The sequence below is a fragment of the Homo sapiens genome, chromosome 8, assembly GCF_000001405.40.
Source record: "Homo sapiens chromosome 8, GRCh38.p14 Primary Assembly".
Lineage (NCBI taxonomy): Eukaryota > Metazoa > Chordata > Mammalia > Primates > Hominidae > Homo > Homo sapiens.
The window spans coordinates 52,646,076-52,669,508 of record NC_000008.11 but is presented as its reverse complement, the minus strand read 5'-3'; the positions used below and the strand labels follow the sequence as shown (position 1 = coordinate 52,669,508).

The following is a 23,433-nucleotide window of genomic DNA, read 5'->3' as shown; positions in this document are numbered from 1 at the left end:
AAATAGTTTAGTTTAATTGCTTTTGTATGTTCTCTGTGTACAAGACTCTATGCATTAATCAGTTTTTTCCGACTGTAGAGAAGGCAGCATGAAGGAGGTATTTGACTAGGATCTTTAGAGGGAGAGGTTGACTTAAACAGTTAATAGAAGAATTGTGAACAAAGATCAGAGATAGAAAAACACGGTTTATCTTGAAATGATAGACATTTCAGCTTGAAAAGATGAGAGGCTTGAAAGATTTTTTTCTGATATCAGATCAATGAAGCCTTTATTATATTCTACATTTATTGGATATTATCTGTGGGCAGAAGAAAGTCATTTGAGGGTTTTATTAGGAACAAGCATAGTAAGTCAATAATAGAAGGTTTCATGGTTGCTACCCAAATGTAGATGTTAGTAAACAGTCAGAAACACAGTTTGAGAATCTGTGAGACTGATCAGTGATTGAAGTAGACTTGGGAGTTATCTCCAGAAAAGTTATACTTAATGCTGAAATCATATTGAGAACAGTAAAAATGGGCTAAGGACAAAATCCTTCTGAATCATCTGTTTTAGAAAGATTAGACAGAGCAAAAGGAGCCAGAAAAGGATGCTGTGAAGGAACCAGTAGAAGTAACTTCCCAGAGCCTTTAAGGTTGGGAAAAGGTTATCTGCCATGCTAACTGTTGAAGAGCCTCAAGTGAAGCAAGGTCATTGGTAGTTTTTGGCTGAGCAGTTTTTATGGAAAACGCAGACAGAAAGGCTGCCAGGTAAAATATTTTTTTAAGGGACCAGGAGCATTATCGGAAAATTTTATAGGTTCCATGAATTTCAGCAAATGTGTAGAATTAGAGCCAGGGAACAGGAGAGATGGAAGAGTGAGAAAGCATAATTGAGCAAGCCGATTCGTTGAGGAGATAGAAATAGAGAATAAGGAAGTTTTATCTTCTATCTCCAGGAGGGAGATAAATTTGCCGAAGAAGTTTATATGTTTTAAAGAGAAGTTGCATTGATAAGAGAATTAATGATATTATGCTGACATTGAAAATACCTTTTTCTGAGAGATATTGACAAGTGATTAAATTGTAGCACTGATTGAAATGTGTGATTCTTGAAAATGTATTCCTAATTATGTATTCTAGTGTAAATTCAGTGTTGTCAAGGATATTTATCCTGTACTTGACCTTCTTATGAAAGTATAACTTAGAGTTCCCATGCTTTTGCTTTTTTATATCTTTTATCACTTATTTTCTCTCAAGCTGTATGTCAGAATAGCATGAAATACATTTTAAACTATTTGCTGAAAATTGTATTCGTATGTGTTTCCTTGTCATTTAGCTTGATCCAAGGATTATTCGACCATTTATAGCAGAATGCCGTCAAACTATTGCCAAACTTGATAATCAGAATATGAAAGCCATTAAAGGACTTGAAGATCGGCTCTACGCCCTGGACCAGATGATTGCTAGCTGTGGCCGACTGGTGAATGAACAGAAAGAGCTTGCTCAGGTACCTATTTTAGACTTTTCTCAGGAAAAGGAATTTATAGTTTTTTTGTACACATGTTTTATATGCAGTATCAATTTGGTGTGCACCATATTTTCACTTTTTCCTTGAATATTTTTAATGTATTAATATTGTTTCCTTGTAATAAAACAGAAAAGCATGTTCTTAATGATTGAGTTTCCTATAGATAAACCATGAAACTGCTACTTGAAGCTGGGGGCAGAAATCAACATTTTTTGATATGTTGAAAGCAGATGATCATATCAGTTATTGTGCTAAAAATTTCAATGCTTCCTACTACCCCCCATAGGACGAAGGATAAGAAATGAAATTTTTTAAGAATAGGAGAATACGAAATCTTGAAGAATTTACTAATACTTCTAATAGTAATACCTAGGTTTTAGATCTGATTTAATGCCATAATCCTAGAACTGTTGAAAAAGTGGATTTTAAACCAAAGGAAGGTGATGGAATGGCTAAGTAAGAGTGGTAAATGTGGACGTTTCTAAGCAAACCAGTGCCTCTCTTAAATTCATGATTGCCTGTCCTTCACCCACCATGGCTAGCATTGTGGCAAAACCACCCATAGCTGAATAGTTGAATGTCATAATCAGATTCTGACAGCTGTTTTTCTAGTTTAATTTTCCTTGCCAATATTTTTCCTCTAATTGTGTTCTTTCATTGGAACATATAAATAATTACATCCCCCATATTAACTTTTCCTTTTTTTTAAGGCAAAACATACTTCGTTGATGTTATAGTTAAGGCTGATATAAATTAGAATGTCCTTTAGTATTTCCTTTTAGTGATAAGTTCAATTTTGTTGTTTGAAAATCTCTTAAATCACCTTGATTTCTGGAGGATATTTTTACCTGGTTCATTTAAAATTCTGGGTTGTTAGCATTTTACTTTTGGTCTTTTCCTTCTGTTTGGTTTTTAGCAATTTTAGTATGAGGTGCCAAGATGTGGCATTCTTTGTATTTATCCTACTTTGGGCTTGTAGTGCATCTTGAATCTGTGGTTTAATGACTTATACCATTTGGGAAAAATCTGAGTCAGTTTCTCTTCAGATCTTGCTTTTCCCTCACTTGCTTTTCCTTCTCTTTCAGTGATTCCAGTTAGACGTGTTAGACCTTTCACCATATCCGTTTCATTTACACTTGTTTCCTGTATTTTCTTTCTTTTTATCTATCTGTGCTTCATTCTAGATATTTTCCTTTAACCTACATTTTAACTTTTTCTCTTTTTTTAGTGGCTAACTGTAGCTAACCACTTGCTCATTTCTTAATTTTGTTCATTTTTCAGCTCTACAGTTTCAGTTTGGTTCTTTTGTATATAGTTTCATATTCTCTACCCAAATATTTAGTCTTAGCCATTCATCATCTCTTTGATCACATTAAGCACATAGCAGTTTAAAAGTCTGTATCTGTTCACTGTATTGCCTGTTCCTGTGTGTCTGTTTATATTTGGTGGTGTTTCTTTCTTTCTTTCTTTTTTTTTTTTTTGAGAGGAAGTTTCGCTCTTGTAGCCCAGACTAGAGTGCAGTGGCGCTATCTCGTCTCACTGCAACGTCTGCCTCCTGGGTGCAAGCGATTCTTTTGCCTCAGTCTCCGAAGTAGCTGGGATTACAGGCATGCACCACCACGCCTGGTTAATTTTGTATTTTTAGTGGAGACAGGGTTTTTCCATGTTGGTCAGGCTGGTCTCAAATTCCTAACCTCAGGCCTGCCTCGGCCTCCAAAAGTGCTGGGATTACAGGTGTGAGCCACGGCGCCCAGCCGTATATTTGGTGGTGTTTCTTATAATTCTCACTCTTATGGTCTTGCCTTTTCATGTACCTGATTTTTTTTTTAATAAGAAAAATCAAAGAAATATTGTGAGGCCTAGGATAACGTTTTCTTCTGCAGATAATTTATGTTTGCTTTTGGTATGTGCTTTGGGCAGTTACCATCGTAAATTACTTTAGTTCAGTTTCAGAGATTTGGATGATTGGACATTGGTATTCTAGTTCTTGGGATGGCCATTCTACTTTTAGTTTACCCCTAATCATAGGATATAGGTTTTAAGGATCTGAACGCAAATAAACTGTTCCATTGTACCTTCCCTTGGCTGGCTCTGGTCTTCAACTTTTAATTTTCTAGCTCTTCAGGGAAGTCAGGACTGCTGACTACTTATTTTTAATTTTGGACTCCTCTTCAAGAATCAGCAGAATTCTTCAGAGCAAATGGCATTCCTAGTCACCTAATTTCTCTCTCTTGGTTTCGTTCTTCTCCTGGATCCTAGCCCTTTCACTGTGCCTGGCTTCTTCACTGCTTTCCTAGAGCCACAGGGAGCTTGTTGACATTACAGGCTACCATTACTAGAGACAGAACTCTGCATTCCTGATCTTTTGCTTCTTCTGCAGTGTAGTTGTTTTTTAACTTCCATAGAATGAATCAAACAAAATTTATTTAACCATACTTCTTTTGGTGATTATTTAGTTTGTTTCAGTTTTTCCATATTAGAAATATTCATTGAGTATCTCAATACACCCATTTTTACATGCATGTTCTAGTATTTCTTTAGGCACAATCTTCAATAATGGGATTGTTGGATTAAGGTCTTTGTTCATTTTAAATATTAATTAATAATGTTCTAATGCCTGCCATAGAAGCAAAATCAGTCAACACTTCCAGTAAGTAAGAAGAGTAATTTCTCTGTTTTCAGCGTTTGCCATGTATTTACTCTGAATTGTCATTCGCCACATTTTCTTTTTCATGTTTTTGTTAGAATTTATCATATATTGTCTAGATAGTTCTTTGTCTATTATAGATCATACAGATATTGTCTCTGTTGATAATTTATCTGGATCGAAAAACAGAAGCTTTAAATTTTGATGCAGTCAAATTCATTCGTATATTTATTCATATTAAATTTTATGAACCCATCATTCTATAAAATCGTCTAGATTTCTTTATAACTGTTTCTCAGATTGAATAAACTAGGGCTTTCAATTATCTTACCTTAGACACTCGATTTTTCTCTCTCTACTTTTTCTTTGCTCCCCTTAATCTCTCAGTATATTAAAATATTGCTATTAGTCCTCCTGCTTTATATCACTTGAACAGTCAATCAGGCAGGTACATTGGATGGTTTTATATTTGTTAGTAATATAAAAAGATATTTATTGCTGATATTGCCCTCAAGTCTACTTGGTTTCAGCAAATGGAGTTTTGTCATACAAGGAAAAGTCTTTTTCTGGGAGTATGGTTGGGGTGATAATACTGTTTTCTCAAAATGGAAGAATGCATTATTTGCGATTTGAGCTTTTCTTGTTTGCTTTCTAAATCTGACCATTTAACCTCCCTGAATCCAAACTGAAGTAAAATTCAGTGAAAATTTCTTATGCTGTTCCTATGGATATTACAAAATTAGTTTTTGTTGTCTTGTGCTCATAGAGCATCCTCTTTCAACATCTTCATTCCCCCTAATTTATTTGTAGTATTTTGCTATTGTTTTAAACTATGGTAGCTCATGGAATATACCAAAAGAATACTATAGGTAATATTGTTACTTTTAGAAAATATCTTTTCTTTCTTCGATACCTGAGTGGTATAGTCCTTTTAAACATTTCGAGACAATTAAATATTTAATTATTTAAGTTCTCCAATGGATATTTTTTGGTACTCCTAAGTATTCATAAGAAGTCATCTACATTGTCTGGTTGTATATTGGGAGCAAAATTTAAGACAGAAATATAGACCCCAAGGTAGACAGTTTTCAATTGAGTGTGCCTGAATGAATCTGAATGTGATAGGATTCAGTTTAATAAGATTATTTTCAGTGAGCTCATTAGAGAAAAGGGATACCCAGTTGAAGCTAGGAGGTATATGGTGAGTGAGACAACTTTTCACACCTATATTGTCATGTATTTGGCTGCCGCCAAGGGATGTACAGAGTCAAGGTTTTAGCAGAAGCATCACTTCCTCAGCCAAACTTTCCTGATCTTGAAGTCTTGGTCACATCATCAGGTTCATTTTCTCTTAGTATGCTGTACTTATCCTGTACCACAGTTGTAATTATTAATTACATGCTGTTTAATACAGTCTCTTCCCAGAATATAAGCTCCAAGGAGGCAGGACACTACTCTATCTTCCATTGCTTTATCTACAAGGTCTTACCACACATTCCTGATACATACATAGTAGGAACACATCAATACTTAATAAAATGAGAATTTGGATTTGTGTTTTTTTGAATTTGAGAAATGTCACAATTCTATCTAGTCTTTGGCTGGTCTGGAATTTTTATTTACAGATGTCTCATCAGTTACTTTTGTTGCTGCTAATGGTATTTCCCTGTTGCAGATAGTTTGTCAGTACTTCCTTTAGAATGTGTTTGGTGAAAAGTAGATAAATTCAGATTATCCAATTTTAGGAGTTGATTTTACATCTTGCTAAACACATTTACAACGTAGTATAATACATTCTAGCTACATAGCAATTAAAACTTAAAACCACTCCCAATTAAAAGGGAAAAGAAATTGTGGAAAGGGATTTATTATTTATTGCCTGAACATCTCATAAGATAGAGACCATTTCAAATGCCTTTGAAGGGGTAATTTCTTAAAACCACAACATTTATGAGGATTGTTGTAGACCCTTCTACATGGTTTTGGCAAAAAAAAAAACCTCACTCACCAAACCTATGAAGCTGTGTAACACTGGAGCCCTGAATATTCATTCTCTAGCCATTCGTATCCTTGAGGGTTATCAGCAAAATTAGGAAATATCAGGGAGTTTTCTTCCTGAACCAAATTTGGCTGAATGCATCTGGAACACGATTGTGAGTACTACAGTGCTATCATGTAGCTCATGTAGCTGTCAAACCTTATTTGCGTGTAAAAATATTAGTAATGAATTAGTACTAGATGATTTATGAGGATTTTTTCTATTTAGTCTGAATTATATTGAGTATGGTTGAGCAAATATGAAATTCAATTTATTGAAAAACTTTATTTTTTCCTTCTTTTAGCAATACAGTACTTACATGCTTTTGGTGTCAGGAAATCCTTTACTAATGGTCTAGAATTTAAATTTGGGATTGATTCTATATTTTTCATGGATTCAATAAAAAGTAATTGAAAACCAGACTTTGCGAAAGGAGTTAAAAGTAGCAAATTGTTTTTTAATAGATTACATTATAGAAAAATTATAGTTGCAGTTAACCAAAGAGTATATTGAAAGGGAAAAAAAAGGCATACAGTTACTATGAAAATTGTCTTCCTTTCAGATATTGAACCAGTTTGACTTCAGTATATATCATTCAAATCTAAATGTCATGATATTTAGGAAAACATGAAACAGAGAACTACCAGAAAATTGGAAGACACACTTGTCCTTTAGCTGGTCATAAAGTTAAGTTCCTAGAAGGATAATGATTTATTTACAGTATCAATACAGCAATCAGATGGATGTACAAAACCTACAACATTATTACATATAAGCCACTTGGTATATAGCATAGGAAAAAACTTTGTGGTAGCAATAAAGTATGTAGTAATAACCTTATTAAGTTATCTTTGGACCACATATAAAGAAAACTAAATATACTTGAGAGATAAATGAAGGAAGATTATGGCAGATCTATCTAAATTAATTAGTAACTTAATCCCTACTTGACAGATACACCGTTCACCTACAAAAACAAATGAGTAAGGACAGTTAAGAAAAACAGAAAAAATGTTTTTCTACCAAATAATAAAGTATAAACTCTGTGTAAAATCACACAATTCAGTCATTGTCCTAGCAATGGGAGCACAGATCAGTGGAACAAAATATAGTCCAGAGATAACTGGAGAGGGCAGTGACTTTTCGATAAATATTTTAAGGGCATTTTATTATTTTTATATTTGGGAAAGTGTCTAATATACTACTGTATAATGTTTGCTAGATTAAATCCCTTATTGTTTTTCAGTGACCTTGTTTTGTTTGTGCTGTGACTGACCGATAGTGTTATAGGATTCTAGACACATAGCTTCTAATTCTCATTGACTATTAAGTATGTCCTTGGCTAAGGGGCTTTATCTTTCTAGCCTTTATTTTCTTCTAGTTTGAAAAATTAAAGATGAGCATAGGATTCTTAAAAATTCTAGGTCTTGTGCCATTTATGCATCTACTACATTCGAGAAAAATAGAGGATTTAAAAATATTGTTAGAAGGCACAAAACGGGTTGTGTTTAACATAAAGATTTTCCACTTAACTGAATGTCCATACCTTTCATGAAACAAAATTAATGTCCTTTGAAACATTTTTTTTCTCAAAGGGATTTTTAGCTAATCAGAAGAGAGCTGAAAACTTAAAGGATGCATCTGTATTACCTGATTTATGCCTGAGTCACGCAAATCAGTTGATGATTATGTTGCAAAATCATAGAAAACTGTTAGATATTAAGCAGAAGTGTACCACTGCCAAACAAGAACTAGCAAATAACCTACATGTCAGACTGAAGTAAGTGATTCATTTATATCTGTTTTAAGATGTTTAGAATTGGTATTTATATTTATTTCTCCCAAATGATGGAGTGATTTTTCCCTACCATTTTATTGAAATACCTTATTGATGAACTTTGGAATTAGACTATTTTTGTAGAGCTTATATATCTTGATTTCTTTGGCTTAACTAAGTTAGTAAGCTTACTAAGTAAGTAACTAAGTTAGTACCAGTTTTGTGAATGTTGAAAATAATGGATTTTATTCTCTAGGTGGTGTTGCTTTGTAATGCTTCATGCTGATCAAGATGGAGAGAAGTTACAAGCTTTGCTCCGCCTCGTAATAGAGCTGTTAGAAAGAGTCAAAATTGTTGAAGCTCTTAGTACAGTTCCTCAGATGTACTGCTTAGCTGTTGTTGAGGTTGTAAGAAGAAAAATGTTCATAAAACACTACAGGGAGGTATGCAAGTTGAATTCTATTTTAACTGTATATGAACTTTAACGAATTGGTGTATGTTTATGTTTAACATAAGCTTTCCTCTTCTAGTGGGCTGGTGCTTTAGTCAAAGATGGAAAGAGATTATATGAAGCAGAAAAATCAAAAAGGGAATCCTTTGGGAAATTATTTAGTAAGTGTTCATTAATAATTTTAATTACTTTTGTAAAGGATAAAAGTTTTTATAAGCTTGGATTTTCTGTAGCATACTTCATGTATATGCTGTTAATTGCCATTGATATCTAGGAAATATTCCTTTTAAAGTGTATAGAATTGAATCCATTGTTAAATTTTAAACTTGAAGTACTGTCAACTTTTAATTTACCTTTTCAAAAACCAGAGATAATTTTTTGCCTTAAATAAAGCTCTAAAATAACCATATTGTTAATTTCTTTATACAGGGAAGTCTTTTTTAAGAAATCGTCTGTTTAGGGGACTGGACTCCTGGCCCCCTTCCTTTTGTGTATGTATTTATTTTCTAACCATGACTAAATTCCATATGTTTTAAAACCTTTTTTCCAGAAGTAGAGACATTTATCAGAAACTTGCAGAAATTGTTGTGGTTTAAAAAAAATCAAAATAAAAGTGTTTTTGGCTTTAAAAGCCAGTTAGCATAAAGCTTTAAGATTGATATTTGTATTCATAATTTTTTATAAAGAATCTTCATAACACAGGAAGATACCTTATACTGCACTGTTAGGATTGGTAGAAATAGATTCACTTGGTTTTTTTGTTTTCTTGTCTCTTCCTTTTTTTCTTTCCACCCTTCCCTCTTCTTTCTTCCACTGCTCTTCTCCCTCCCTCCTCCTTTACAGCCTCCACCTCCTCCTTGCCCTTCTATATTTCTTTTCACACCACCCCCCTTTATATTTTGACAAATCAGAATAATAAAGCCTCAGTTAGACTTCACTGGAATTAAACGTTAGTTTGATATGTTTCTAAACCATTGTTATCTGGGGTCATTAATTGTATTACATGAGAAGAAACGTTTCCATGATCAAAGCAATATGGGGGCTTTTACCCCCATCAGATGTACTCTTAGCTGTGTTGTTGTTGTTTTGGAGACAAGAGTCTTGCTCTGTTGTCCAGGCTGGAGTGCAGTGGCACAATCTCATCTCACTGCAACCTCAGCCTCCTGGGTTCAAGCTGTTCTTGTGCCTCAGCCTCCCAAGTAGCTGGGACTAGAGGTGCCTGCCACCACATCCAGCTAAGTTTTTGTATTTTAGTAGAGACGGGGTTTCACCGTGTTGGCCAGCTGGTCTCAAACTCCTGGCCCCAAGTGTTCTGCCCACCTTGGCCTCCCAAATTGTTCAGGTTACAGGCGTGAGCCACCACGCCCAGCCATGCTTAGCTGTTAAACATGTTTCTATACTGCAGGATTTCTTAGTGTTTTAAATGTATGCATTTTTTAATACATAAGAATTGGTGACATAGCGATTCCCATACTTATTTATCCGAGAACTCTTTTTTATGAAGAGCATCTTGGCATCTCCACATCTGCTTGAGTAATGATTTAAAACAAGTTTTTTTTTAATGCAACTCTTGGCAATTTTATAAATAATGAATTGGTAGGATTTACCGGTTAATATTTTTTACAGAAGCTAAAATTGACCAAAACTTTGTCTTCTGGAAAATGTAATGGAAAAGTCAAGGCAAAAGCAAATAAGAAAGTGTTACATGGAAAAAAAATACATGTGTGCATTTTAATATATTAGTGGCTTTAACATGGTAAATATTATATATATACGCACACACTTACATATGTGTTTACCATATGTATATGTACATACATACACATACAGGATAGGAATATTGTAATTCCCATAAAATGATGCTAAAAGCAGAGAAGGGGAGGAACAAGTGCATCCCTTGATCACTAGCAGTTCACGTCGCAGTTTACTAAAGGCTCAGGAAAATAATATGCCATATCTTTATTGAATGGTCTTTTTTTGTTTCTTAATCATTTAAAGCACTTTAGTTTGTTTGGTATAGTAAATTTAATTATAGTAAGAAATCATATAAATTTGCTGTCTGTTTTTGGTTGAAAAAAAATTTTTTAAGTAATTAATTTTTTTGGTACAGACTCAAAAGCCTCGAAAGTTTGACTGTGAACTTCCAGATATTTCATTAAAAGATTTACAGTTTCTGCAATCATTTTGTCCTTCGGAAGTTCAGCCATTCCTCAGGTAAATGTCATTAGTATTTTCAGTTAATTTATAACCTTAAAATGTTTTTATTATTCTGGAGTTGTGCCAGGTAGTACCAGTAATCTTAAGAGGTGCCAAGATAAGAAATATTTAAGATAGACTGGCTTTCCTGTGACTGCTTTGAGAAATTTCTGGGGAATAAAAAATGATGGAAAATGAAGGTAAAGTAAAGGAAGACATGCCTTACATGTAATTATTTTTTTCTAGTAGTTACTTTTTGCATGCTGTTGGGAAATTTCTGACTTTTTACTTTTTTTTTTTTTTTTTTTTTTCTTGAGACGGAGTCTCGCTCTCTCGCCCAGGCTGGAGTGCAATGGTGTGATACTGGCTCACTGCAACCTTCACCTCCCATGTTCCAGCAGTTCTCCTGCCTCAGCCTCCTGAGTAGCTGGGATTACAGGAGCCCACCACCATGCCCTGCTAATTTTTGTATTTTTAGTAGAGATGTGGTTTCACCATGTTGGCCAGGCTGGTCTCGAACTCCTGACCTCATGATCCACCCGCCTAGGCCTCCCAAAGTGCTTGGATTATAGGTGTGATCCACCACGCCCGGCCCTAAGTTTTTACTTTACTGATTATGACACAAACTTCTTAAAATACTTCTGGTATTAATTTAAAAAGGAATGATAAGGCTCTTGTTATTTTTGACATATTAAAATATTTGGTAGCAGTTATCTACTAGTTCATTAAAAAATCAGAAGTCTAATTGCATTGCATTCTGTTTCAGGGTTCCCTTACTTTGTGACTTTGAACCTCTACACCAGCATGTACTTGCTCTACATAATTTGGTAAAAGCAGCACAAAGTTTGGATGAAATGTCACAGACCATTACAGATCTACTGAGTGAACAAAAGGCAAATTCAATTCTTTCAAACAGTTTTCTTCATTAGTGTAAAATGTTTGTGTTCCTGCAGCTCTTTAAGCCTTTCTTTCTGTTTTCCAGGCATCTGTGAGTCAGACATCCCCACAGTCTGCTTCTTCACCAAGGATGGAAAGTACAGCAGGAATTACAACTACTACCTCACCGAGAACTCCTCCACCACTGACTGTTCAGGATCCCTTATGTCCTGCAGTTTGTCCCTTAGAAGAATTATCTCCAGATAGTATTGATGCACATACGTTTGATTTTGAAACTATTCCCCATCCAAACATAGAACAGACTATTCACCAAGTTTCTTTAGACTTGGATTCATTAGCAGAAAGTCCTGAATCAGATTTTATGTCTGCTGTGAATGAGTTTGTAATAGAAGAAAATTTGTCGTCTCCTAATCCTATAAGTGATCCACAAAGCCCAGAAATGATGGTGGAATCACTTTATTCATCAGTTATCAATGCGATAGACAGTAGACGAATGCAGGATACAAATGTATGTGGTAAGGAGGATTTTGGAGATCATACTTCTCTGAATGTCCAGTTGGAAAGATGTAGAGTTGTTGCCCAAGACTCTCACTTCAGTATACAAACCATTAAGGAAGACCTTTGCCACTTTAGAACATTTGTACAAAAAGAACAGTGTGACTTCTCAAATTCATTAAAATGTACAGCAGTAGAAATAAGAAACATTATTGAAAAAGTAAAATGTTCTCTGGAAATAACACTAAAAGAAAAACATCAAAAAGAACTACTGTCTTTAAAAAATGAATATGAAGGTAAACTTGACGGACTAATAAAGGAAACTGAAGAGAATGAAAACAAAATTAAAAAATTGAAGGGAGAGTTAGTATGCCTTGAGGAGGTTTTACAAAATAAAGATAATGAATTTGCTTTGGTTAAACATGAAAAAGAAGCTGTAATCTGCCTGCAGAATGAAAAGGATCAGAAGTTGTTAGAGATGGAAAATATAATGCACTCTCAAAATTGTGAAATTAAAGAACTGAAGCAGTCACGAGAAATAGTGTTAGAAGACTTAAAAAAGCTCCATGTTGAAAATGATGAGAAGTTACAGTTATTGAGGGCAGAACTTCAGTCCTTGGAGCAAAGTCATCTAAAGGAATTAGAGGACACACTTCAGGTTAGGCACATACAAGAGTTTGAGAAGGTTATGACAGACCACAGAGTTTCTTTGGAGGAATTAAAAAAGGAAAACCAACAAATAATTAATCAAATACAAGAATCTCATGCTGAAATTATCCAGGAAAAAGAAAAACAGTTACAGGAATTAAAACTCAAGGTTTCTGATTTGTCAGACACGAGATGCAAGTTAGAGGTTGAACTTGCGTTGAAGGAAGCAGAAACTGATGAAATAAAAATTTTGCTGGAAGAAAGCAGAGCCCAGCAGAAGGAGACCTTGAAATCTCTTCTTGAACAAGAGACAGAAAATTTGAGAACAGAAATTAGTAAACTCAACCAAAAGATTCAGGATAATAATGAAAATTATCAGGTGGGCTTAGCAGAGCTAAGAACTTTAATGACAATTGAAAAAGATCAGTGTATTTCCGAGTTAATTAGTAGACATGAAGAAGAATCTAATATACTTAAAGCTGAATTAAACAAAGTAACATCTTTGCATAACCAAGCATTTGAAATAGAAAAAAACCTAAAAGAACAAATAATTGAACTGCAGAGTAAATTGGATTCAGAATTGAGTGCTCTTGAAAGACAAAAAGATGAAAAAATTACCCAACAAGAAGAGAAATACGAAGCTATTATCCAGAACCTTGAGAAAGACAGACAAAAATTGGTCAGCAGCCAGGAGCAAGACAGAGAACAGTTAATTCAGAAGCTTAATTGTGAAAAAGATGAAGCTATTCAGACTGCCCTAAAAGAATTTAAATTGGAGAGAGAAGTTGTTGAGAAAGAGTTATTAGAAAAAGTTAAACATCTTGAGAATCAAATAGCAAAAAGGTAAGAATTAAGTTTAGTCTGTAATTATAAAATTAAAATATCAGTGATTCGTTTGTGTGTAATCACAGTACCTTGATTTACTCATTTACCTTGGGTAAATGTAGCAACTAGGGTATTTTCATGAAGTAAAAACTTACTTTTTAGTCAGTGTTTCTTGCAAACAGAAATAACAGACTAAATCCATGAGTGGCTTTTAAAAAATGAATCAGCAGTTTGGATTTTCAGAGAAATTTTTTGTTGAAAGTTTGAAATGTTTTAAAGAGCTCTTTGTTTTTCCTTTTTTAATTCATAAGTTTCTCTCTTGATTTATTTGCAGTTTTTTTCTAAACTCTTCAGTAGAAAATTACTTATATTCTCTTTAAATTTAGTATATATATTAAAGACTAAAATTTTGTTCTGTATATTGTTTACTAAAGGCTAAATCATAGGAACATGTAGAGTGTTCCTTATTGTTATTTTCTTAATACAGTTTCAGTTATTTCCTCTGTGCTTGAAAGATGTTTTTAAACTGCAGGTTTGATACTGTGGTTGTGGATTGGTGGTGTTTTTACATGTTTATTATTGTTACTGTCTGATATTACTGCCTTTTGATCACAGAAGATGGTTTTTAGTATTTTTACTTTTAATCTGGGTTTAATTGGGTTTTGTGACCCAGTAAACAGTTTCTAGAACATAATTAATATGTCAATTCATTCTATCATGAATTCTCCAAGTGAATACATATATATTTCAACCTGTGTCTTGCCTTATCACTTTTATACAATCTCTTGTGATTGTCTGCTCTATAATACTCATATATTGGTATACTGTTAAACCTCCCCTTTTGGCTTAAAATTAGAAGCTCTTTAGGTATTCTGGGGGAGGGGGCATTAGAGGGTTTAATAGAGGAATTAGGGTTTGCATGTATGTTTAAAAGCTGGATGAGAGAAGGTTAACAGAGTCACTGCCAAAGGCCAGGAGAGCTTGTCAAAGAGAATCAGAGATGGACAGTACTTAAAGCAGTAAAAACAGATTATATTCAGACACTATTGCAGTATGGAAAATAGACCTCATTATAGAACTAGGCTCAATTCTGAATACAGCATGAACAAGTTGAGATTTATAGCTAAGGAGGGTAGGGGTCAGTGGATGGAAAATTACTAAGAGGAAACATAAGGAATAAGGGGAATTTTGGTTAAATTGATCTAACAGGATTCTTACTGAAGGCAGGCCAGGGCAATAAAATACCAAGGGTGGGGACGATAATTTGTTCAGATATTGATGGAGAGATACTCTCTAAACTGAGTTAGCAAGACACTTGATACAGCTGGACAGCGTAGGCCCAAGAAGAATAGATGTCAAGGTCGAAGCCTAGAGGAGCCTGATTGAAGTTTAGTTCAGGAGAGCCCTTTTCAAGCTCAAAGTGAAATAAGAGGAAAACAGAGGCTGAAGCACCCATGAAAGCTGATGGTTCTCCATGGCTCACTGGGAAGCTGCTACAAGATTCAAGAATCTCTTCAAAGCACCAGTCTGACTCAATCTGCATCACAAAATGGATAGTTCTCAGTTACTTGCCAGGAAGCTACTGTGAAACTGCATCTGGCTACAGCCACCTCTGGAGAATAAACCTGTGCTGCTTTTCTGCCTTCCAAAACCTTGCACATCTTCTTTTCATTGGCAAACTGGAAGCTATACCTGGGATTTTGGGAAATGTTGGATCTCTGTATTGCAGTGCATATGAGATCATAAAAGAGGAGCAAGGGCAAAGCCTATGGAATACTAGACAGTCCAGCACTTTATACCCCATTTAAAACTCAGCATTTAGACAGATAAATGTCTTTTGCCCATATTGAGCTTCCAAATAAAGACACTTAAAATAGGAAACAGCAGTTGGATTGAAGACACCACCTGAAGAAATTCATTAAAATCCATTGTTTGTCTCCATGTCTTCTGGACAGGACACATACTTAATGTTGAATAAGAACATGGTAGAAACCTCCCTCCCCTGTGTCGTGAAGTGAGAGTTTTAGGAATTTTACTTGGCCTTTTCTACCATAATAGTCCTTGTTCCACGAGTAAGGGAAGCAACATGGGGATTCTGCCAGTTTCTTCTGTCTATTCCAGTAACGATTCTGGATCTAAGGATGTACAGGGTGAGTATCCCAAATCCAACATGCTCCAAAATCTGAAACTTTTTGAGCCCTGACATGATGCTTAAAGGAAATGCTCATTGGATCATTTTGGATTTTGGATTTTCAACATTTGAGATATTCAGCTGGTAAATATAATGCAAATATTCCAGAATCTGAAATTCAGACCACTTCTGCTGCCAAGCATTTCCGATAAGGGTTATTCAGCTTGTTCCTGTCTCGATGAGGGAACCATTGGGCCCAAACTCTGTCACATGAGCACCAATAATCTCCTCCTCCTAGTGGACCACAGTCACTTCAGTCTTCTCAGAGCCAGTGTTTGGGTGAAGGTTAGAATTCTCTTGGTAAGTTAAGCCTCTGAATACTAGATCTAGAGTTTTCTGTTTTGTCTTGTTTTTACAGTTTTAGTAGGTCTTTAACCGGTTCATTCTATTAGGGCCTACGGACAACCACTACCACAGATTTCTCTGGGTCAAAACCTTCTAATTACTGCTCTGGCTCTGTTGCTTGTGATAGAGCCACATTATGTTTCTGGTGGTGAAGTGCCACTAACTGGCCTCTGCCACTCCAGAAGCCTGTCATTCCCATTAAATTCATTGAATTTCAGTGTTCTCATCTCCCTCTGCTGTTTCCTGCAGAGCACCACTACAGAGCCTTTTAAGCTTGTATTTTGCAAAGCCTTGGTAAAGAACATATTCTCTGGGACCTCTGAGGGTATAAGTAATAAATCCCTTCCAGTATACCTGCCTTTGGATGCCTTCCTTGTAGATCAGGAGTCAGCAAACTTGTTTTTTTGTTTGTTTTTTGTTTGTTTGTTTTTTGAGACGGAGTTTCGCTCTTGTTACCCAGGCTGGAGTGCAGTGGCGTGATCTCTCTTCACCACAACCTCTGCCTCCCAAGTTCAAGCAATTCTCCTGCCTCAGCCTCCTGAGTAGCTGGGATTATAGGCATGTACCACCACGCCTGGCTAATTTTGTATTTTTAGTAGAGACAGGGTTTCTCCATGTTGGTCAGGCTGGTCTCGAACTCCTGACCTCAGGTGATCCACCTGCCTCAGCCTCCCAAAGTGCTGGGATTATAGGCATGAGCCACCACGCCTGGCCAGCAAACTTGTTTTTTAAAGGTCCAGATAGTAAAAATTTTAGCATTTGCAGGTCACACACAGACTTATTCATATAATCTGTGTGCATGCGTGTTTACCATCTTTTAAATATGTGAAAAACAAGAACAGTGGCTCTCTAACTTCTGTCACAGTATCTTTTTACGCTCTCAAAAATTGACTCCAGACTGATTTTGTTCATAGGGATTATGTCAGTATTTCTGTACTAAAAATTAATGGCAAGAAATTGAAACTTAGTCATTTTCAAATAACCTCATTACATGGTGGCATACATAAGACTTTTTTTTTTTTTTTTTTTTGAGACAGAGTCTTGCTCTGATGCCCAGGCTGGAGTGCAGTGGCGCAATCACGGCTCACTGCAACCTCCCAGGTTCAAGTGATTCTCCTGCCTCAGCCTCCCGAGTAGCTGGGACTACAGGTGCGTGACACCACGCCCAGCTAATTTGTTGTATTTTTAGTAGAGATGGGGTTTCGCCATGTTAGCCAGGATGGTCTCGATCTCCTGACCTTGTGATCTGCCCACCTCGGCCTCCCAAGTGCTGGGATTACAGGCGTGAGCCACCATGCTTGGCCATACATAAGATTTTTTAATAAAAACTTTCTGAAATGAAAACTAGTTAGAAGAGTACCATTGTTCTATGTATTTGCAAATCTCTTAAGTTTTGATTGAAGTATATGAAAAAAAATCCAACCTTATGCTGAATGCAATTGGAAAAGGAAAGGAATATTTAAATAGCCTTTTCAGATGATTGTCGATATTCTTCTTTGTTACTAAATCAAAATTCAGCAAGTGGTAATTTCTGAACATTAGTTTTTATTGTGGAATATGCAGCTATTAGTGGATTTTCTCATAATCTTAACATTTATTGGTACATCTCTTGTACTTTTTTACTCATGCATGATTTTATAGCGTCATGAGTTGGTCATTTGGAAAACACGAGTTCACGGAGTTAATGCAGATCTTCCAAATGTTAACATATTTTAGAGCTAGTAGTTTTTACTATTCAAGAATATTCTAAGAAAAAACAGCCTCCCCTTTTTCCTCCCCACTTTGAGTGCTTTGTGGTGAAAGAAAACGACTACAAGTAAAGTTTGGTGCTAATGGCTTTAATTTGTGTTCAGGTACCAGCAGTTTGATCATCAGTGCCAATATCAACAAGGTGAAAAAGGCAACACTTGGTGTTACTATGAAAACAGTTCTGACTTCACTTGTCCTCTGAATGTGTTTGGTTAACCCCAGGCTTCTATGGATCACTCTTTGGGAATCATTAGCCTAAAGAAATGGTTGGCAAACTTTTATAAAGGCCCAGATAGTAAGTAGTTTAAGTTTTGTGGGCCAAATGGCCTCTATCCAAACTACCCAACTGTACCATTTTAGCAAGACAGCAGTGAGACTATATAAATGAATGGTTTTGGCTGTGTTCCGCAAAAAAGCGGATTGGATTTACCTGCCCTTGATCTAGAGTATCTCATTTTGCCATCTCATTTTCATTTAATGTTGGTTATTCTTAAGTCTACTTTCCAGGCAGTCAACTTGGCAAAGTGTTAATAGCCAATATTGAGTCTGGAATCTGTGGTCATTACACCCGTATAAATAATTTTGGCCTCACTCCACATTGTCCCTCCTCTTGTAACTGTCATTAGATCTATTCCCATATGTATTTTCCATTTTTCTGCCAAAATATATTAAAGATTCTGTAATTGCTTTGCAATTCCTTCTTTGTTAGATTTTTAACTCTCCAGAGATCTGGCAATTTGAGTGTAGCAATGAGTATGGAAGTAATTAAATGGTGGGAGAGGTTGTTGAAAAGGATCATCTCATTGAGAAGAGGACTACCTCAAGTGAAGGGACACTGATTTCCTCAGACAAGGTAGAAAAAGGCTGTTGCTTCCAGGAAGGAAGGTTTGGTGGGATTTGGAGGCACAGCTGGGACATGTCTCAAAGCCTTGCCTTCCTTAGTCACTGGTTTTTCAAACAACTACAAGTGTGTACTGTTATGCCATGTACTGCCCTGGTTTTCCAGTGTTCTATTTTGCACTGGCACTGAGGTCATTACTGCTTTCAGATCAGAGAATTAATCTCAGTTTCCATGTTTTATGGGATTTTTTTTTCCTCTAGAGTCATTTTTTTGTATCAGGATTGAGCTTATAAAACAACCACTTTTAAATATTTCAGGATTAAAGGGATTAATACTAGATTTAGAGTTTACATGAATGTTGGGAGAACTAGGAGACTGGATAGTAATCTGGTGAAGGCCAAGAGATCTATAATAGAAAGTCATCTGAAGCACCAAAGTTGGTGGCTTAGGAAACTGATACAGTTCTTTGAAGACTTTCGTCAGTTGTCTACCAAGACCCCCAAACAGGTGGTTTACTTGGAAGTCTCTTACGAATCTCACATTGCCCACATGTTTGGCTACAACCACCTCCAGAGTCTCTCTCTTCAGCATCCCAGGTCAGGTGTGGGTATCTTGCATTGGCAATCTCAAACATAGAACCTACCGAGGAGGGAATTCTGGATAATATCCCTGGCTTCTCTGTCATGCAGAGGAAACCTTTGAAGAAGAAAGATGCTTATGTGAGGACACACAGTCCGGCATATTTCCCTTTCACCACTTGGTTCTACATATGCCAGAAGCAACACTGAGGGGCCAGCTGCCAAGGAGAAACATTTCTAAGATATGTATATTAGCTATGTCTGTAGCTCCCACAGTAAGTCAATAAGAAAAAGGCACATAATCTGTTAGAAAAATGGACAGAGGATATGAAGAGATCAAAGAAGAAATACAAATGGCCAACATGTAGATACTGTTCGGTCCACTTGTGATTAAGGAAATGCAAGATCAGAATATCTTCTATTTAATTTGGAATTATTAAAGTTTATATTAGTTTTGAAATGTTTAGTTTTGAAAATATAGGAGAAAGCTTTCTCCTGTACCTTTGTACAAAGAAATAAGAGTGGAACGTGTGTATGTGGTTTGCGTGGGTTGGGAAATCTACCTACTACATGATTGATGGCCTTGCTCCCAGGAAGTAGTGATGTGGATCTGAGTGAGTATGGGTGGGAGCATTTTAATTTTGTAATTCTAATTTCAAAAGAGATTTTTATTTTATTATTTTTTTGAGACGGAGTCTCACTCTGTTGCCCAGGCTGGAGTGCAGTGGCATGATCTCGGCTTACTGCCACCTCTGCCTCCAGGGTTCAAGTGATAGAAGAGATTTTTTTGAAAAAACAGTGAACTAATTGTTTACTAGGCCCCATTTTAATTCAGTCAGTGTTAAGAGTTCAAGCATCAAGACAATCTAGTTTATGTTCAATGTAAATTTTCTAGTTGCTAGAAATATTTGGATATAATACAGTCCTTTGCTAGAACTGACATTTTAATGGTGGGAAAAACTGTCAGCCTTTAGAGATGCCTTTTTTCAAGTTTCCGTGATACTAAAGTTCCCAGCTGGTAACAAATGTATCTGCTTCCTTGAGTTTCAATGTCCAGGCCTCTTTAAAGTATTCAGGTATGCAAAGACAGGATTATGCAAGTTTCTTTTAGTTGGACAACCTTTATTGATGAATTTCTTAGGTTTCTGTGGTAGTGTTGTTAGATTAAATACAGTCATTCCCTCTTGTCTAGTTTCGTTTTATGTGATTTCGCTCTTATGGTTTCACTTACCCCATGGTTCGAAAGTATTAAATGAAATAAACAATTCCTGAGTTTTAAATTGGACACTGTTTTGAGTAGCATGATTTGTCCAGTGTATCCACACTGTGGGCACTCTCCACACATTAGTCACTTGTTAGCCATCTGGGTTATCAGTATTGCAGTCCTTGTGTTCAAGTAACCTTTATTTAATGGCTCCAAAGCACAAGAGTAATGATGTCGACAATTTGGATATGCCAAAAAGAAGCCTTGAAGTGCTTCGTTTAAGTGAAAAGATGAAAGTTCTTGATTTAGTAAGAAAAAAAATCAAATGCTGAGATTGCAAAGATCTACAGTAAGACCCAACCTATCTGTGAAACTGTGCAGGAGGAGCCCATTCATTCTCTTTTTGCCATCACACCTCAAACTGCAAAAGTTAGGACCACAGTGCATATATTGGAAAAAATACAGGGTTTGTTACTATCTACAGTTTCAGGCATCCACTGGGGGTCTCGGAACATATTCCCTGTGGGTAAAGGGGGACTACTGTATTTTTCTAACTGAACTGTGATACGCTGTAACCTTTTCTTCATGACCTCCCTCCCCTCTACACAGCTTCTTGCTCCCCATAGAAAGCTAGGCAGTGATGCTAGTTAAAACACAAAACCTATTTTAGCTGTTAGCCTTTCATTGCTAGGGTTAATTCCCCTGATAGCAGGGCCATTTCAGATCCTAGGGTAATGTAAAATTAAAGTTGTGTGGCGGATAGTCACTTGGAACATTTTCTAATGGGAGCTTCAAACAATATGGCATAGTATGTACTTTTGGCCGGATTAATACAGCCACAAGAAACCTGTCTTCAGTACAGGATAATGATTATTTTTCATGTCATAACCTGTGCAATCTTTGCTTTTACTTTGAGTCAGTAAATGAGATACCCTATGCTAATCATCTAGTGTTCTTATTCTGGTTTTGGGGATATGGTGTTTACAGAGAGTGTCAGGGGTGTCTATATCTGTTTGTGTACCTGGAACTGTGTCCTCTTGTCCCTGTATTATCTCAGCACAGCACTGACCCTGAAATGGAGTACCCCAAGCAATCCAAAGATGCAGGACACCTAGAAATTATAAGTACTGCCTGTGCATGGCCTCCCCTTCCTCTCTTGCACAATTTGAACCACACTTTTTCTAGTACAATTCTAGGATCCTTTATCATGTTGAAAGCTCTCCTTCAGGCTTCTTTACTGTGCCACATTTCTTACTAATATCCTTTCTCACAATAGTCTTTTCAAAGCCTAGATTCACACGATATCATTCTCTAGACCAAACCTTTCAATGACTTTATATGGTACTTGCAATAAAATTCATAACCTTTACTGTTCACTATCTGTCCTTCACATCTCCAACCTCAGTGCTCTCTTGATTTCCTCCTTAAAACCTGGCCTTATTTTTTATTCCTAAAAGTTTCAGCTTACCTTAGAACTGTGGAGATTTCTTCAAGGAAGAAATCGGCCAAGCAGGATTCTTTGTAAACCCTGCCTATACCTATTTTTATCCCAAGCACTTCATTATTAGTAGTCTGAGTCTCTTTGTAAGTCTCTTTGTGTTCCTTAGTAAGCCTTTGATTTATGTAGTATGTCAGTTTTCCAGCCATGGAGTAGTTTAAACTTGCACATCCCCCTCTTCTTCAGCCCCAAAGGAGAAACTTTAAAAGTAAATCCTTCGCCTTAATTAATTATATTATGGAATATATATTCCTTCCTTTAATTAACTATATTATGAAATAGGGGATTCCTATTCCAGCCTTTCTGGGAACTAAGTAAGGAGTCTCAGACTTTGATAGAGATATTATGTTTCAAACTGCATATTCTGCATTTGGCTGTATAAAGCTATCCCTTTGGAGGAAAGGTTATCTGAGCAGCAAGTTTAAGTTATTAGATTTTTATCAGGAAATTTGGAAGCATGAATAAAAGGATTCCAATAATTTTTTGTATGATTATTGATATAGTGTATTCTTGTCATATAATTAGATGAGGAAATTACATAAGAAACATGTAGAGTGAACATTTTAAATACATGCCCATATTAATTGCAGAACACACCCTGATTTCAAAAACATTAAAATATCATTTAAAAACAAAGAGGGACATTTAAGCCTAAAAATTGACCTGGTAAAGTGGTTTTTAGTAACAGCAACTTTTTGAGGCTTAGCATGTTTTAATACTAATGGGATTTTTCATCTGCTTCTTGGAGAAACCTTTTTTTAATGCTAAGGATTAAGTTGAAAGTAGATAAGATTAATACTTAGAAGTTATAATTAGAAGTTAATGAGTTATTAATTAGAAGTTAAACTAATCATTAACCAGTGTTTGTTCATTTCTTCTTACATTGTCCTATTCTCATCTCTAGCACTTTGTCAGCAACCCCTAAGAGGTTAGTAAGTCTTGAGGAAAATGAGTATGAGTTCAGGAATATGTAGATTTGTTCGTGTAAGCGCTTTTCAGTTTTAGCTTTGTGTTACCTACTTGCTAGCAGAAATGAACCAAAGACTATTTTATGGAAATTAAAGCATTTCAACATATGCAATCTTTAGGTGTTTCTTTTTTCCTAAGTCATTGTGTAAATTTCATGTATAGGAATAGCAAAACTGACATTTGAAGTTGAGTTTACCTATCTCTTATGTGTATAGTCCCTTACCAGAAAATACTTTTTCCTTATGTTGCCCAGGCAGGATTTGAACTTCTGGGCTCAAGCAGTTCTCCTACCTCAGCATGCACCACTGTGCTTGGCTGTTGTTTTTTTTTGTTGTTTGTTTGTTTGTTTGTTTAAGAGACGGGGTCTCACTTTGTTGCCAGGCTGATCTCAAACTCTTGGACTCAAGTGATCCTCCCGCCTGGGCCTCCCAAAGTGCTAGGATTACAGGTGTGAGCCACAGAGCTCGGCCAAAGAATAAAAGAATGGCTACTCCATGGGCAGAGCAGCCTCTTGATTTTTATGTATGTTGATATAAGCAAATTATCTGGAATTTATCTGCTATACTGATAAAAAT

General features: G+C 35.9%; 1 protein-coding gene across 19 annotated transcripts in view, besides 2 other annotated features; it reads left to right on the top strand.

Annotated features, from left to right (window-relative positions):
* The window catches only part of RB1CC1 (RB1 inducible coiled-coil 1), a 91,978-nt gene that overhangs the window by 44,927 nt on the left and 23,618 nt on the right, over positions 1-23,433 (top strand). For 15 of the 19 annotated variants that reach the window (XM_017014109.2, XM_011517645.3, NM_001083617.2 and 12 more), the window contains 8 exons: positions 1,318-1,488; positions 7,790-7,974; positions 8,228-8,414; positions 8,502-8,583; positions 8,852-8,913; positions 10,533-10,636; positions 11,385-11,511; positions 11,601-13,501. In XM_017014109.2, the coding sequence (XP_016869598.1) occupies positions 1,318-1,488; positions 7,790-7,974; positions 8,228-8,414; positions 8,502-8,583; positions 8,852-8,913; positions 10,533-10,636; positions 11,385-11,511; positions 11,601-13,501 (2,819 nt within the window). Of the gene's footprint in view, positions 1-1,317; positions 1,489-7,789; positions 7,975-8,227; positions 8,415-8,501; positions 8,584-8,851; positions 8,914-10,532; positions 10,637-11,384; positions 11,512-11,600; positions 13,502-17,872; positions 20,473-23,433 lie in introns of those variants that run through there. The other 4 variants (XR_928826.4, XM_011517649.4, XM_047422496.1 and 1 more) reach the window with 4 other exon arrangements.
* Positions 14,431-14,930: an enhancer, noted in NCBI's record as "OCT4-NANOG-H3K4me1 hESC enhancer chr8:53567139-53567638 (GRCh37/hg19 assembly coordinates)". NCBI's record gives its function as "activates a minimal SCP1, AML or CMV promoter by ChIP-STARR-seq in naive H9 embryonic stem cells {active_cell/tissue: H9 hESC(naive)}" and the evidence as "EXISTENCE:reporter gene assay evidence [ECO:0000049][PMID:30033119]".
* Positions 14,931-15,432: an enhancer, noted in NCBI's record as "OCT4-NANOG-H3K4me1 hESC enhancer chr8:53566637-53567138 (GRCh37/hg19 assembly coordinates)". NCBI's record gives its function as "activates a minimal SCP1, AML or CMV promoter by ChIP-STARR-seq in naive H9 embryonic stem cells {active_cell/tissue: H9 hESC(naive)}" and the evidence as "EXISTENCE:reporter gene assay evidence [ECO:0000049][PMID:30033119]".